General features: G+C 38.7%; 1 protein-coding gene and 1 non-coding gene across 12 annotated transcripts in view; one reads left to right on the top strand and one right to left on the bottom strand.

Annotated features, from left to right (window-relative positions):
• CTNNA2 (catenin alpha 2) overlaps positions 1-14,977 on the bottom strand; it is a 1,463,404-nt gene that overhangs the window by 770,945 nt on the left and 677,482 nt on the right. For all 11 annotated transcript variants that reach the window (NM_001399737.1, XM_024452714.2, XM_011532556.3 and 8 more), the window contains 2 exons: positions 7,901-8,020; positions 3,494-3,760 (listed from right to left, as the gene is read on the bottom strand). In NM_001399737.1, the coding sequence (NP_001386666.1) occupies positions 3,494-3,760; positions 7,901-8,020 (387 nt within the window). The remainder of the gene's footprint in view (positions 1-3,493; positions 3,761-7,900; positions 8,021-14,977) is intronic.
• On the top strand, positions 11,253-11,341 carry MIR8080 (microRNA 8080). The gene has a single exon (NR_107047.1). It is a non-coding gene; the product is annotated as a microRNA 8080 (primary transcript).

The following is a 14,977-nucleotide window of genomic DNA, read 5'->3' as shown; positions in this document are numbered from 1 at the left end:
TTAGGGCAAACTAGCTGTGCTGTCTATGAAAATATATTTTGCATTTTTATGGTTCCTTTTACTTCAGCATTTCAAAGACGTTAAACTTATTTAAATTTTCACTATATGAGAAAGGTATTATACCAAGTATCAGTAAGAGATTTTGCCAGAAAAGTAAACCACAGGAAGTTTGAGTGAGTTTTTCACCCAATGAAATATCAATTTGTTTAATATCTGAGAATAGCATTTAGGACTCATGACAGATGTCCATGAATTCAAAATCAATTTCAAGTTAGCATGCCTAAGAAATTTTTAAAAAAACAGTATTCATCATACAACTATGGAACAGAAATTTATAATTTAGTCATAAAATAAAGAGAAACGGTATATTATTTTAATGAGAAAATTTCAAGTATCATTAACTACTGTCTAGGTTTGCTGATGTCAGAAGTGATGGAAAATCTACAGCAGGTGAATCACATTACAGTCTGTAAATTCAATACTAATTTACTAGCATTACTACTTTTGAGAAAGTGCTGAAATTAAATTGCATTTGTTAAATGACAATTGTTAGGGAACCACATCAAATGGAATTATTGTTTCAAAACTGCAATTCAGACAGCCTCCACATTTTGATTTTTGTTGACCTCCAAGAAGTAAAATGTTGACCATTAGATAACGCTTTATGTAATTCTCATAGCTTGAGAAACAGTATACATTTAATAAGAATATATTACCTCATTAATATACTTAGCTAATATAAAATATAATTTTTTCATTCATATATAATATACTGAGTTAATATTATAAGTAATATAATTAGTTAATATAGAAGTTTAAAGTTAATAAAATATAGTTAGTGACTTATTTACCATATTATACTTTATATTTTAATTTTTCCAACTGTTTCAAATATATCATGTTTTATAAAAAACATGTTTGATGGTTATATTCATGTGTTAAATTTCCAAAGCCTTATTTGTCCAGCATGAGGAGATATCACTTCAGGAAAAACAACAACAACAAAAAAAAAACCTTGAACATTCAACATGTTGACATACTTTGCTAATAGATTTTCCCCACATGACCTCAAGTTTGATTTTTATGAATGAAAGCCTTTTGCACTGTTGCACTGACGCATCGGTTGTTACATTAATTGGGGATAAAAGGTGCTTTTAATGAAAATCGTCTGGAAACAAAAGGCAGCATGGGGAAGCAGCAGTTGTCACACTCTTGGACAGAAGGTGGCAGCAGCTGAAGTTCCTGGACTGTTCACAGGCCTTCTCTCTGTGCTTCATATTTTCACTCTTAACCAGCTCCTCACTTAGGTTTTGTTGTTTATTTTTGATTATAAAATAAATTATAACTAGAATAATGTAATTGTGTCAAAATCTGACTAAATAATCCATTCTTAACTAATTTTAATAAACACCAATTTATAAAATAATTTTGTATTTGAGATTGCCTATGATTTTTATTCTTTCATGGATGAGTCCATTTGTGTTTCAATACACACCTTTAAAATTAATGTAGCATTACAATGTTTTAATATCTGTGTGTATGACCTGCTCATTTACTTTTCCCTGAAATATGGGCTCATTCATTCTTTATTCTAGAATATAAAAAAAGACAAACAAACAAAAATCCTTTATCACTCCTCTGTCAAGTTCCAAAAGAATCCTCTTAGAATTTGTATTGAGATTGCTTCAACATTATGAAAACTGATAGGATCAATAGTTCTCCTACTCAAGATCATGATATCATTTACTGACAAGTAAAACTTGTCCCTCAATAAAGTAATATAATTTGACTTTTTAGGTCCTTCACATCTATATTAGACTTATTTCTAGCAGATATAAGAAATAATAAAATAAAATTAACTTTTTAAAAATTATTTGTTTTGTGAATATCTCCTCGTTATTCTACTTTATTTTACATGATGAAAATCTAGAGATTTTTGTATATTTATGTTATATAAAGTAAACATTATTTTGAACTCTCATTATTTTCTATGAATTTTCAGTTGCTCGCTGCAATTTTGTGAATAAAATTACCTATTATTAAGTCTTCATTTCTGTAGCAAGTGCTTTAAATATATTATCATATTTAATCCTCACAAAAAAAACCTTAGGAAATAATATATGGTGTGAGATACATATAACTAACTGTAAAAATATGGGAAAGAGGAGAGACCACTATGAAAATGGTAAGAACTATTTGAGTATGAACTGTTAAAATTATTCCTCAGTTATATCATCCATCTCCAAGCCTTGAACAATCATTGCTTTGCTCCTGGACCTTTTTTTCCAGCTGCTAACTAGTTATTTCTTGCCAAAAATTCACATCAACATATTCAAAAGCAAGCTCATCATCTTTCTTCATGACCATTAAGTAACCTATTTTTCTTCTATGAATTCCTGTAACATTGTGTTTTATCAATTAAATGGTGTTTAGTGCATTCTACTTCCCTCATCTCCCCTGCAGGGTTATTTAACCCTGGAAAGTAGATGCTAATTATTTATAAATCTTTGTAGGCTTTCATTGATCATAAGATAAATAAATTCCAACTTCTCACAGGTCCTCTGACCCGGGGGGAATGGGGGCTGTCATCCCGGGGTGCTGATGACATGCGTGCAACCTTCTCACTCACACTGATGCTTCACATATGGCTCAGCACAGTGAACAATCCTCCTTGCTTCTTCCCTCACCAGGACACACCTACAGAAACAGCCAGTGTAGAATGTAGGACTTTCAGAGAACTAACACAGGCTCTCCCCAGAGGGTCTGTTCTAATGAAGACCAGGGTCCTGTGTGGGATCATAGGGCAATGTACTTTATCACTGATTTAAAACAAAGAAATTGATGGCAGCTTTTCACGCAGGCACAACATAGAGGCAACGTACATCTAGGCTGCCCATAACATGTGCCCCTTTAATAATAAAGATGATCGTCAAATTATGAACTGTCCCTAAAATAGCCTGTAAGTTATCTCATCTACCTGGAAGGGATTGGGCACTCTTAAATACAGTTGTTTCTTCTTTTTTCCCCGAGACGGAGTTTTGCTGTTGTTGCCCAGGCTGGAGTGCAATGGCACGATCTCGGCTCACCGCAATCTCCGCCTCCCGAGTTTAAGCGATTCTCCTGCCGCAGCCTCCCGAGTAGCTGGGATTACAGGCATGCGCCACCACGCCCAGCTAATGTTTTACATTTTTAGTAGAGACGGGGTTTCTCCATGTTCGAACTCATGACCTCAGGTGATCCACCCACCTCGGCCTCCCAAAGTTCTGGGATTACAGGGGTGAGCCACCGCAGCCACAGTTGTTTCTTTAAAGACAAGTGATAATGGCTTAGCCAATATATTACAGAAATGCATTATGTAGTTTATCTTACTATTAAAACCTCCAAAAGAGAAAAATCAATGTAAATTATTGTAGTGGCCCTTCATCCTCAATACATTTTTTTTTTTTGTCAACACCAGTGCCCACCCCTCTGTGTACCTCACCAGGATGCTTACGTCAAACTCATTAAGAGCCGCAGCCAGCTCGCCGATGCCCGTGTGGCCCTTGGCTTCGTCAGTGGGCGAGGTAGCTTGAGCAGCATTGGAGATGCCGGCGATGGCCTCCTGGACTTGTTTGAACACATAATCTCGGTTGGCTCTCGTAGCGGCGACATCTGGGTGGCGGAGAAATGCTTGAGAGGCCGTGTACAGCATTGTGGCATTCTTCTTCAGAGCCCCTCGGGCGGCTGCCATCTCATCCCGACAGTGAGGATCCTTCAGCTCCTGTGTGTGTAACACATGAAAGCTGTCACACACATGAAATTTGCATAGAAATATTTGCAACACAGTTTGGAGTCACAGACTCTTAGTAACACACTGAACTTCAGAAACCCTTGTGCTGTTTCTAGCTGCCAGGCCTTTGCATATACTCTTTTGTTTGTTTGTCTGTTTTATAGAGACAGCTAGGTCTCTATAGTGACCTAGGTTGGAGTACAGTGGTGTTATCAAAGCTCACTGCAGCCTCCATCTCCTGGGCCCAAGTGATCCTCCCTCTTCAACCTCTTAAGTGGCTAGAACTACAGGTGCATGCTTCCACACCAGGCTAGTTAAAAAAAAAAAAGTTGTGGAAGTGGGGTCTGGCTATGTTGCCCAGGTGGGCCTTGAACTCCTGGCCTCAAGGGATTCTCCCACCTCTGCTTCCCAAAGTGCTGGAATGACAGCCATGAGCAACCACACCTGGCCTACTGTCCCTTCTATGTGAAATGCCTGAGCTTTCCTCCTCTGCCCTACCCTTTCACCTGACAGGGCTCCACTGACTTGGCACATCCTCCACCCAACTTTCTAAGCTGTGTCCCCTTTCATCTGTTCCCACAAGACACTCTTCCTCTCCTATCACTAACACTTCCTACTTTACTGTATTTTTTGAGCATATATTTCTCTTCTATAACGTACCTCTAATGACAGCAGGGAGCCCTAGTTTTCTTATTCAGTGGCTCTTTAGTCATTAGCAAAGTGGCTGGCCTATAAGAGGCATTCAATAAAATATTGCTGAGATAATATAAAAACCAAGCCACCAAGAAGGTAAATTGATTGCATGGGCCATACAGTTAGTTATGAACAGACAGAAAACCTGAAAACGTCAGTCTTCTGAGGCCCTACTTGCCTCCATATTCAATTACTGTTACAAATGGGAAACCAAACTTCTGATTTTTGCTCAACACATCAGTGTCCCTTAATTATCATTTTCAGAATAGGGTTCCTGCTTTGTTGTTGTTGACAGCCTCTAATGGCAGCTCATCATTAAGTTTAGAGAACAGAAAATAACAGGCCAAAGATGATTTGTTTTCCTAGTTTTGGATGACAAAATAATACCACTAGGGAGTCTCTTTATTTCCATCTTTAAAGGCTGTTGTTAAGAAAATGTTCAAATGATTTTCAGAAATGTTAAAGCAGTGTTGCTCTTTGAGAGCCATGCAGGATTGCCAGCTGTGTTATCTCTGGGAGAATATTCTTCCAGCTGGAAAACATCAGTAAAGCGTATTTGAACCACTGGGCTTCTCTTCCTATTTGCTCATTTGGCACATGATAGATGAATGACCTGGTAACAAGAAATCACATCTTCTGTTTTGTTGGTCAAAACAATTCTGAGACAAACACATTATATTTGATATCTAAGATTGTCACGAAAATTGGTAATAAATAATGAACAATTTACTGAACCATCTTTTTCCCCCTTTGCTTAAGCATTAAAAGATGGATGCTAGGTAACACAATTTCTAAATTGGGATTATCTAATTTGAGCCCCAGAGATGAAAATGGATAAACAGGTAACAAATATTTGAATGTATTCTCTACTGGGCAATGATTTGGGCACGAGAGGTAGGTTTCTCCCAAACAGTCATGAAAACCTTTATTAATGTCAGAACATCTGGTCCAGAAATTCCATTCCTGGGTATCTATACTAAAAAAAATAATAAAATGGTAAAATAGATCTAAATACAGAAGTGAGAAATGCGGGTTGTGAAAATCTCTCCATAAAACACTTGAAGAAACATGTTTTAATCATAAGAAGAAAACTGGAAACAATCTAAATATTGAATTACCAAGAATTGGTTGAAAAAAAACTACTGAAACATTCATATTGGAGTATGTGATAATTAAAATTAGTTTTCCAAAAATTAATAACATGAATAATATTTATAAGATAAATTAAAAAGCAGAACACAATACGCATATTTGTATGCATAGTATGATTTTAAATGCATTAATATGTGAAGATAAATATCTGAAAGAAAATATACCAAAATATCAGCACCATATTCTTTGTGGGTGGTAGGGTATTATGTGTTTTTCCCCTTTCCTTCTGTTCTACTGTTTTTCTAAATTTTCTTGAAAGAGTCTGAACTAACAATCAATTAAAAACAAAGTATTAATGAAGTAAAAATAAATAATGTAGGCATTTTCATATGAACATCATATATATTCTCGTGGCTTTTAATGTCAGCTACATGCTGATGGCCCATGTTTCCATCTCCAGGCAACACTTCTCTTCTATTTGATGTTTCAATGTGGATATCTCAAAATCGGCACATCTGTGTTGGTTATTTTAGGTGTCAACTTGACTGGATTGAGGGGTATCTAGAAGGCTGATGAAGCATTATTTTGAATGTGTCACTGTGAGAGTGTTTTAGGAGGTGACTGGCATGTGAGCCAGTGAATTAAGTGGAGAAGCTTCACCCTCAGTGTAGGTGGGTACCATCCAGTCGGCTGGGGGCAACGACAGAACAAAAAGGTGGAGGAAGGGTGAATTCATTCTCTCTCTCCCTTCCAGAGCAGAATGCCCTTCTCCTCCTGCCTTTGGACATCAGAACACCAGATTCCTAGGCTTCTAGACTCTGGGGCCTGCACCAGTAGCCTCCTGGGGCTCTCTATCTCTCTCTCACTATTCAGAGTAACTTTGTTCCTGTTTATATTACACATTGGGCTACCATACAAGATTCCCTTTCAACAAGGAATTCTGCTGATAAAAACATACTTAAAAATAACCACATAAACTAAAATCACATTTATGTGCCTGTCTCACTGAGGACTGGCTCTTGGTTAAGTTCCTAATCCCAGCCTCACTTAAGCCTGGCACAGAATGAACATTCAATAAATGTTTGTTGAGTGGAACTTTCCTGTTGGTCAGAGAGAAAGTTAGAGAAACTACGAATGGCCCAAAATGTTTTAAAAAATTCTGGAAGCAGTCAAAAGGATGGGTGAAAGGATTTTAGGAGATCCTTCCACATTTGGAAATATTTTTTCTATGGCGAAAGAATAAAAACCCACTCGATGGGAACAAAATACTAAAGGTATCCAGTGAGCAAACAGAGTTAGCTGAAACTGAGAAATCCCTAGACAAAAAGGAGGCTGATATGGTTTGGCTCTGTGTCCCCACCCAAATCTCATCTTGAATTGTAAACCCCACATGTGGAGGGAGGGACCTATAATCCCCATGTGTCGAGGAAGGGAGGTGACTGGATCATAGGGGTGGTTCCTCCATGCTGTTCTCGTGATAGTGAGTGAGTTCCCACGGGGGTCTGATGGTTTTATAAGGCAGTTTTCCCTGCTCTTGCTCACTCTCTCCTGCCACCTTGTGAAGAAGGCGCCTACTTCCCCTTCCACCATGATTGTAAGTTTCCTGAGGCCTCCCCACCCATGTGGAACTGTGAGTCAGTTAAATCTCCTTTCTTTAGAAATTACCCAGTCTCAGGGCAGTTCTTTATAACAGCATGAGAACAAACTAATACTGAGGCTGAGGAGATCCCAGGTCACACAGCATCATGAGAGTGACTCACGCTCACCTGCACTCTTCTCACCCCTTTTTCCCTTCCTCCCCTTCCCCACTCCCCTCCCCTTTTCCCCCTGTTCTCTCTCCCTTTCTCCGTTCCCCCACCCCTGCATTTCCTCTCATTTTGTTCATGTTTTCTTCTTCTCTTTCAGAAAAATTTCACCCCACATACTACATATCCTGGGAGTGTATATGTGTGGTGGTGTTCACAAGACTAGGAGACAAAAAGTGAGGGCAAAGGGTGACATCCAGAGACTGACCACAGCACTACCCCACAGTTTAATATTTTTTATTTGACATCAGAGCTGTGTTCCTACAGTGGATAGAAGATCAGAGTGTGGTAGGGCTAGCAGGGTGGGTCCACCAGTGAAGCAAATAATCTGTGGCCTGCTTATAGGTGGGGGCCAGAGAGTGGTCCAGAGCCCACCAAGGCATCACAACTGGCCCCTGCAGGAAGCAACCTTTGTCATCACAGGTTCTTAGGGCATTTGATAGCAAGCAGATGCAGTTGATCCATTGTTCAGGCCTAAAAAGCTACAGGGTTATTTAAACTCACCCATTTTCTCCCCTAGCATTTCTAAAATCTTTCCCACCTGTTGTCTTCTTGCTGCTACATAGTTAAGTTTCACCATCTCTTTCCCAAACTCTTTAAAACGGTTTGCAAGGTCTTGCTCATTTGTAGCATTTTTGACAGCTTCCAGGGCCTCTTCCACCTGCAGTGGTGAAAAACAACATATTTATTAGTGGATAGTATTTAAATATTATTCAACATGTTAGAAATGGAATTTGCACCCAAAAACTCTAAAACACTAGTATGTGTTAACATGTAAATGAAAAAATAGGAGAAGAGTTCCTCTAACAATCATGTGTAGTCAGATTAAATAGTTATTCAAGACTTAAAAATATTTTGTATATAAAAAAGCAATTGCTGAACTCCTGGTGCATATAAAATCCTGTGTTTATTATATTTTATTAAAGTATGATTTGGAAAGATATCGACCTTTAAGTAGAAACACTAAGGAAAATATATTTGAGAAAAAATATTGAAGTTAAGAAAAAATTCTAGAAGCCTTCAGAAGAGAAAATGGTTTACAAACAAAAGACTGGAGAAATTCCTGAGCTGCTAAAAATTTAGGACAGCATGAATCTGCAACCAATGTTGACAACATCTCTAGCACCGGGACTAAAGGGATTATAATTTTAGGCTGAGTTTATACCTCTCCATCCAATGGAAAGAGGAAATATTGATTCCTTGAAAGCAAGTGAATTTGAAGTTTTGTTGCTATTTGAAGGTGGTATCAACTGGAGTGGAATGGGGGTGGAGAGGATGATGGCAAGCACACCGCCCTACCAATGTGCCATGCTTCCAAATCGCTGCAAACTGTCTCAGTGAACTTTTCCATAGTAGCATTGGACCTGAATTGTGAATTTCATCAAAATTCCTTTATAAATAATTTAAGTTTTGAAAAATATTATTCTCCCCTCCACAATGATCTTAACTTCAATATGGTATGAAAATTTCCACAATTGGTAAACCTTTAAGTTATACCATCTGTGGACACCATTAAACTAAAATTAAGATATTGTGGTGAAGGAGTCCGCTCAGTCCCTGTCAGTCAGATAGTGTCTTTATAGAAATAATTTCATCAATGGAAATAGCCAAGAACACAGTCCTGAGTGAATAAAGCACAAGACAGACATGTTTTTGGAAAATCAACTGTTCTTAAACATGAAGGGAGTCTGACAGAGGCCCCCGACTAGTTCCATTTCCTGAGAGAGGAATGGAGCGAGAAGGCAGCTTTGAAAGAAAGAGTAATGAGAAATGCAAAAAATACTTGGGCAGAATTCAGATCGGCTCTTGTAATTTTGGGCAAATTAAAGGGCATTATATAGACAGTGCATTGTTTGACAATTCGGAAACACAAATGACAACTACAATGGCTGAAAATAACCATAGATTATATTAACTCAGATCTGAACTTAATTGAGGCTTGACGCAATCACAAAGGTGGCTAATTTCACTTCCTTATCAAGTGCACTGAGCAAAGGAAGAGAATACGTATCTAAACCAGTAATAATGAATATCATCAAGCCTTTTGTCCCAGAGATATGTAATACCATTCAATTTACCAAATAGGCTAACTCATTTTAGTAAGGAAAGAGTTGTAGCAAGCAAAGGAAGTTATTTGGAATGATACTGGTGGCAGGGGTTGGGGGGAGGTTAATCTAGATGCCACATAACGTTTATGTCCTGGATTGGGAAATTTAAGTTTCCATTCTCATCTTCTATGGAAAGCATGCGTCTTCTTTTTTTCCCTAATTATAAAAATATGAAACGATGATGTAAATCCTCAATGTTAGTCATTCCCAATTCCTATCTAGGCTCTAATAGTGCTCATGTGAAAAAGGAAGTACAGTTGAAAAAGGAACTGCCATGTGTCAGGTTTTTTAGGCACCCAAGTCAAATTACATTTTATGGTATGGAAAGGCACTTTTAAAACATTGTTATAGTTTAAAGAGAATCTCGTACCTCAGATCTTTAAAACACCAAAATCAATGGTGTTGTACATTCTAATAGATTTATAATCATCTTAACTTGGCTATCAACAGCATCTTTGAAAGGACAGTTCTTGGCAGCTAATTTGTTCCTGCTGCTTATTTGAGATGTAAATCTCTTCTTGGGACATAAAAACTGGTTCCAGGGAAGAGCACAATAATTATCTCAGAGGGAGCTAAATTCTGGATTTGTTTTCTAATATATATAAAACAGGCTTCTCATAGGCTGTTAATCAGACCAATTTGGAATACTTATTTTACGGTGTTACACATAACTTATTTTCTCAGTGGTTTTCTCTGAAGAATCTAGATGCCAGTTTTAATTTCTTATAATTCAATAAAATATTTTTCCAAAGAAACACCAAGAATGGGGTCTTTCCGTGTAAAGGTAAACTTAAGTTACATGCAGAGTTTGAATCCAGAAGGATCTAAGAAGTCTAAAAGTTCTCACAAAGAATCACGGGGCAGAATCTGTCCAAGGTCCCACAGAAATAAAGGAAATGGAACTAAAGTCTGGATTATGGGCACACACTACTAGTAGATAGATGAGAGATGGAGATGGATGGATGGATAGGATAGATAGACAGATAGATTAGATAGATGATTGATGGATGATTGATAGATAGACAGATAGATAGAATATTGAAGGGACGTAGAAAAAGAAGAAAAAATAAGTTTAGTGAACAGACAATATTGACAATTCAAAATTAATATAAAAATTAAGTCTTTATTTTTGAACAGTCAAGGATTTTGAACAGTCAAGGATCTTTTGTCCTTTCTGGGCAGCTAGAGAAAGGAAAGTGACTCCTATGGCCCAAACAAATACCTTGCTCTCAAACATTTACTGTTCATGGAGGAGTTCAGGACTGCGAGTTGAACAAAGAGCAGAAGATACAGAAGAAAACCCTGGGACACTTTAACCAAGATACACCTGTCTGGGCCCCACCATGAAGAATGTTAAGTACAACTGTGTGAGGAGGGCTATGAGGTCAGATTGGTCTGGATTTGAACCCCAACGATGTCATTGGCAAGCTCTGTGATCCAGGGCAAGCTATTTAACTTCTCCAATCCTCACGTCTTCATTAATAAAATGAGGATAATAATGTCTACACACTATGCACAGATTTTGTGGGAATTAAAGGAGATAAGAAATGCAAAATATCAAATCATACATATTAGCAAAATCATACATTTGCTTAGCAAAATGTATGGCAAGAATTAGGGGCTCATTAAATAGAGACACCAACTTGCTGCATGGGGGAAAAATGCCTTAATAATTTTGAAGATAAAGGTTTTTATCTTACTCTTGGAAAGTCTGTGGATGACAGGGGCTCTGGCAGAACTAGAAAGAAAGCTGCAGAGAGAATACAGGCAGTGGGCTGCCTAGTGATGGCTCTAAGAAGGACACTGGTGTCAACGGCTGAGCCCTTTGATAAGGGGGAGGTTTGGAAGACACTTATGTCCTGGATTGGGAAATGATTTCTAATGAGCTGACATAAAGGGATCCCTCAGAGGCAGCTGTCATACCCTTTCCCATTAAAAATGCCCTCATGATCTTGGACATTACAGCCAGGCATTCTTCTCCCGCTGACCAGGCTGGGCTTATAAACACCAAAGCCAGAACTCTTTGCTAAACCACGTATTTTTGTCCTTAATATTTATAACCAGTGCATAGATAAAGCTGAAAAGACTGACACTTCTAGAGAAGACACTAAAATTTATTCCCAATTTAGTGGGTTAAGAAATTCTTTTCAGAACTTGTCACTTACAACTCTTAAAATCTTGGCCTTTTCGCAGGCCTGTTCAAAATAGCCTGTACCACCATTCCTAAAGCAAGCCTGTCTACTCCTATTATTTAGTCTAGAACTGTGTCATATTGTTTGAGATAGTCATTAAATCAGTGTCTAATTTTCCTGGTTGAAACTGTACTTACTTACTTCAACATAAAAAAGCAGGCTGGCCGCGGTGGCTCACGCCTGTAATCCCAGCACTTCGGGAGGCCGAGGCGGGCGGATCACGAGGTCAGGATTTCGAGACCATCCTGGCTAACACAGTGAAACTCAGTCTCTACTAAAAATACAAAAAATTAGCCAGGCGTGGTGGTGGGTGCCTATAGTCCCAGCTACTCAGGAGGCTGAGGCACCAGAATGGCATGAACCCGGGAGGCGGAGCTTGCAGTGAGCCGAGATCGCGCCACTGCACTCCAGCCTGGGCGACAGTGCGAGACTCCGTCTCAAAATAAATAAACAAATAAATAAATAAAGCAGCCCTATAATTCATTTATTCATTAAATATTTATGCAGAGTCTACCATAAGGTCGGCATCTGGGGATGGGATAGTGTGGAATTGAGGAGTCTGATACATCCCTGCCTGCACTGTGTGTTCTGGTTCCCTGTAGAAAATTGCTGGCTATACCATTACTAGAAATCGTTGCTGTTATGATTATCATTTCTGTTTGGACAGACTGACCCCATTCCAGGGTTTACTATTGTTACCTAAGTTGACTGGATTTTAAGTGACACTGACAAAACTATTTAATGGATCATATGTAAATCTCTTGTTACAGTCTACTTTTACAGTGAAATTTAAAAATAACTATCTTGGAAATAGGAGTTGGCCAAATGCATGAAAGAATGAATGCATGTAAGACCCGCCATCTAACTATTGTACTTATTTAATCAGATACTCTGGTATGGCCATTGGTGTCTCAGCATTATCATACTTTATATTTCTGCCCCATAAAGTTAAGTTGGTCTTCTTGATTAAATTGTGTCTTTCCTTGTCAACAAGGGAAGAAAAAAATGATTTCATCAGAAGCAAAGAATGATTACATGCTAGTGTCATTGATGCTTAAAGCGCATCAATGTGTGTTATACAAATGTGTGTATAAGTGTGTTATACAAAGCACAACAATTTAGTTTATTATATATTTCCAAAGTTATTTTCAGTTTGTACAAAAAAAAATGACACCAGTGTCATTGAGTTCTTCTGATATACAAGATAGTGTTCTAAATGGCTTACGTCTATCTTATTTAGTCCCAAAAAACAGTTCTTTGAATTTGATGGTTTTCTTATTCCCTATGCTTATCCGGTAGAGACTGAAATCGGAGGAGAGGAGTTGTATAACCTGTCAGAAGTCTCACAGCAAGTAAGTGTAGGAGCCTGGATTTGAGCCCAGGTAGTTTGCTCCAGAGCCCATACTCAATTTCTGAGCTATGCTGCATTGATTTTTCAGAAAGGGTGAGTTTCTAAAGCCTTGCCCCATATGATTGGTCTCCAAGTTCTATTCACTGTGCCTCTATATCCTGAGTATCTGTAAAATCTACCTCTTTTTCACAATAAACACTGCCATTGTCTTAGCCAGCTTTTCATTCATTCATTGGCCTAGATAATTTCAACAGTCTCTTTATGTGTTCCTCTTCTAATTCCTTCTCCACACTGCTACCAAAATTATTTTTCTAAATCACTAATCTGAATCAAATTATTAGTACTACTCAGTGGCTCCCCATAACCTATATATAGAGTGCAAACTAATTATCATGTTATCCAAGACTGTCCATAACCTGGATCTCTCTGTTCAACTTTGTTATTGCCTCTCCCCACCTTGCCCACTATGCACCAACAATAGAATCACTGGTGTTTCAAACACTCCAAGACTCCTCTCTTAATCTCATGCCTTTGTTCTTTCCTTGGTTCGTAAAGCTCTTTCTGTAGTTAAAATCTGTTGCCTGACCTGAATCTATCATCTCCCTTCTTATGGTAATAGAACCCTATTTTCCTTCAGTAACATGCTCTTTTCCTGCATAGGCTATCAAATCCAAATTCACCTTTTCTGCTAACACTATGAAAATATGGATGGGCCGCTGAAATATTACTCCTTTCCCAGTTGGCCTGATGTTAAGCTTTGTCAGTAGAGGGTGTTGCATAGACGCTGCCAGAGGAAAGGGTTTGGTTCCTGGTTCTGGTGTGCTCCTTCAACAGGCTCCTGCAGCAGAGGAAGCTTCTCCAGCACCAGGTGGCCAGCAGCTTCCCTCAGTATGCCCCGCTGTGCAATTCTGTAGCAGAATGCCTCCAGCAAGACACCCCTCCATGAACAGCTTTCCTCAACAATCCAAAGGGCAGATTTCTAGCAAGCTCCATTATATTGTGTGGCACCTTAGTGACTCCTTTGTCATCAAGTGACCCAAGGCCACACCCTCCAACAACATCTGGATCTCAGGCCTGGTAGGGTGGGGTCCTCCCTAGAGTGCCCTATGCCAGCCCCAGGGGTAGCAGCTTCTCCTCATATCTGCCATTCCCATATTCCTTAAGAGTTCTTGTCATTTCTTATGAGCTAATCCCTTGTTATTCCAAACTGCTATTAGTGTTAAGAATTATTTAAATGTTCCCTGTTTAAATGACTGAGTGGTTGTGTTGTCATCATTGGACAGAATGATTCATCCCTCAACTCTGTGATGGGGCCAACTCTTTCCACTTATCCCCAACTTTCAGCCCCCAGCTTGGACTTGAGACTCCGACTTATTGAATCTAGGCCCAGCGATAGGTTCGAGGAGAGGCAAACCTCATTTAGTTCAATGAGACCCAATCTTGAGACCTCCCTCTCCCAACCACATCATCCTTTCTCTTATTGTCCTAAATTGTGCAGCCATACAATATGGTTAAACTGATCCCATTTCCAGCTTGGGGTGAGCAAAGAGCAGGAGTCCTGACCATGTTAACTAAGAAATTAGCATATTCTGTTATCCATCTAAATAATTAACTCAGAGATATGCACATGACTGAGAGGCCAATTGTGCCTAATAAGATTGTAGAACTTTTTTTTGTTGTTTGTTTGTTTGAGCTACCAGGAAAGAGAATTTCCTCTTTTGTGCTATCTTTAGTCTAGGATCATGCAACCTTCAAAACGGTTGGCAAGCACTTTGAGACTATGAGGCCTCCTATCAGGGGCTACAGAGAACAGAGTCCTCAGTAAGGAGGAGAAAGAAAGAAAAACCTGGTTTTGTCATGCTTTTGCACCTTGATCAAGCCTTGCCTGAAGCTATTACCTCTGGACTTTTAATTTGGTGAGCCAAAATATTCCCTTTTTAAAAAACTAGGTAGAATTAGGTTTTCTG

Source organism: Homo sapiens, chromosome 2, assembly GCF_000001405.40.
Source record: "Homo sapiens chromosome 2, GRCh38.p14 Primary Assembly".
Taxonomy (NCBI): domain Eukaryota; kingdom Metazoa; phylum Chordata; class Mammalia; order Primates; family Hominidae; genus Homo; species Homo sapiens.
This window is presented reverse-complemented; position numbering and strand designations above follow the sequence as displayed.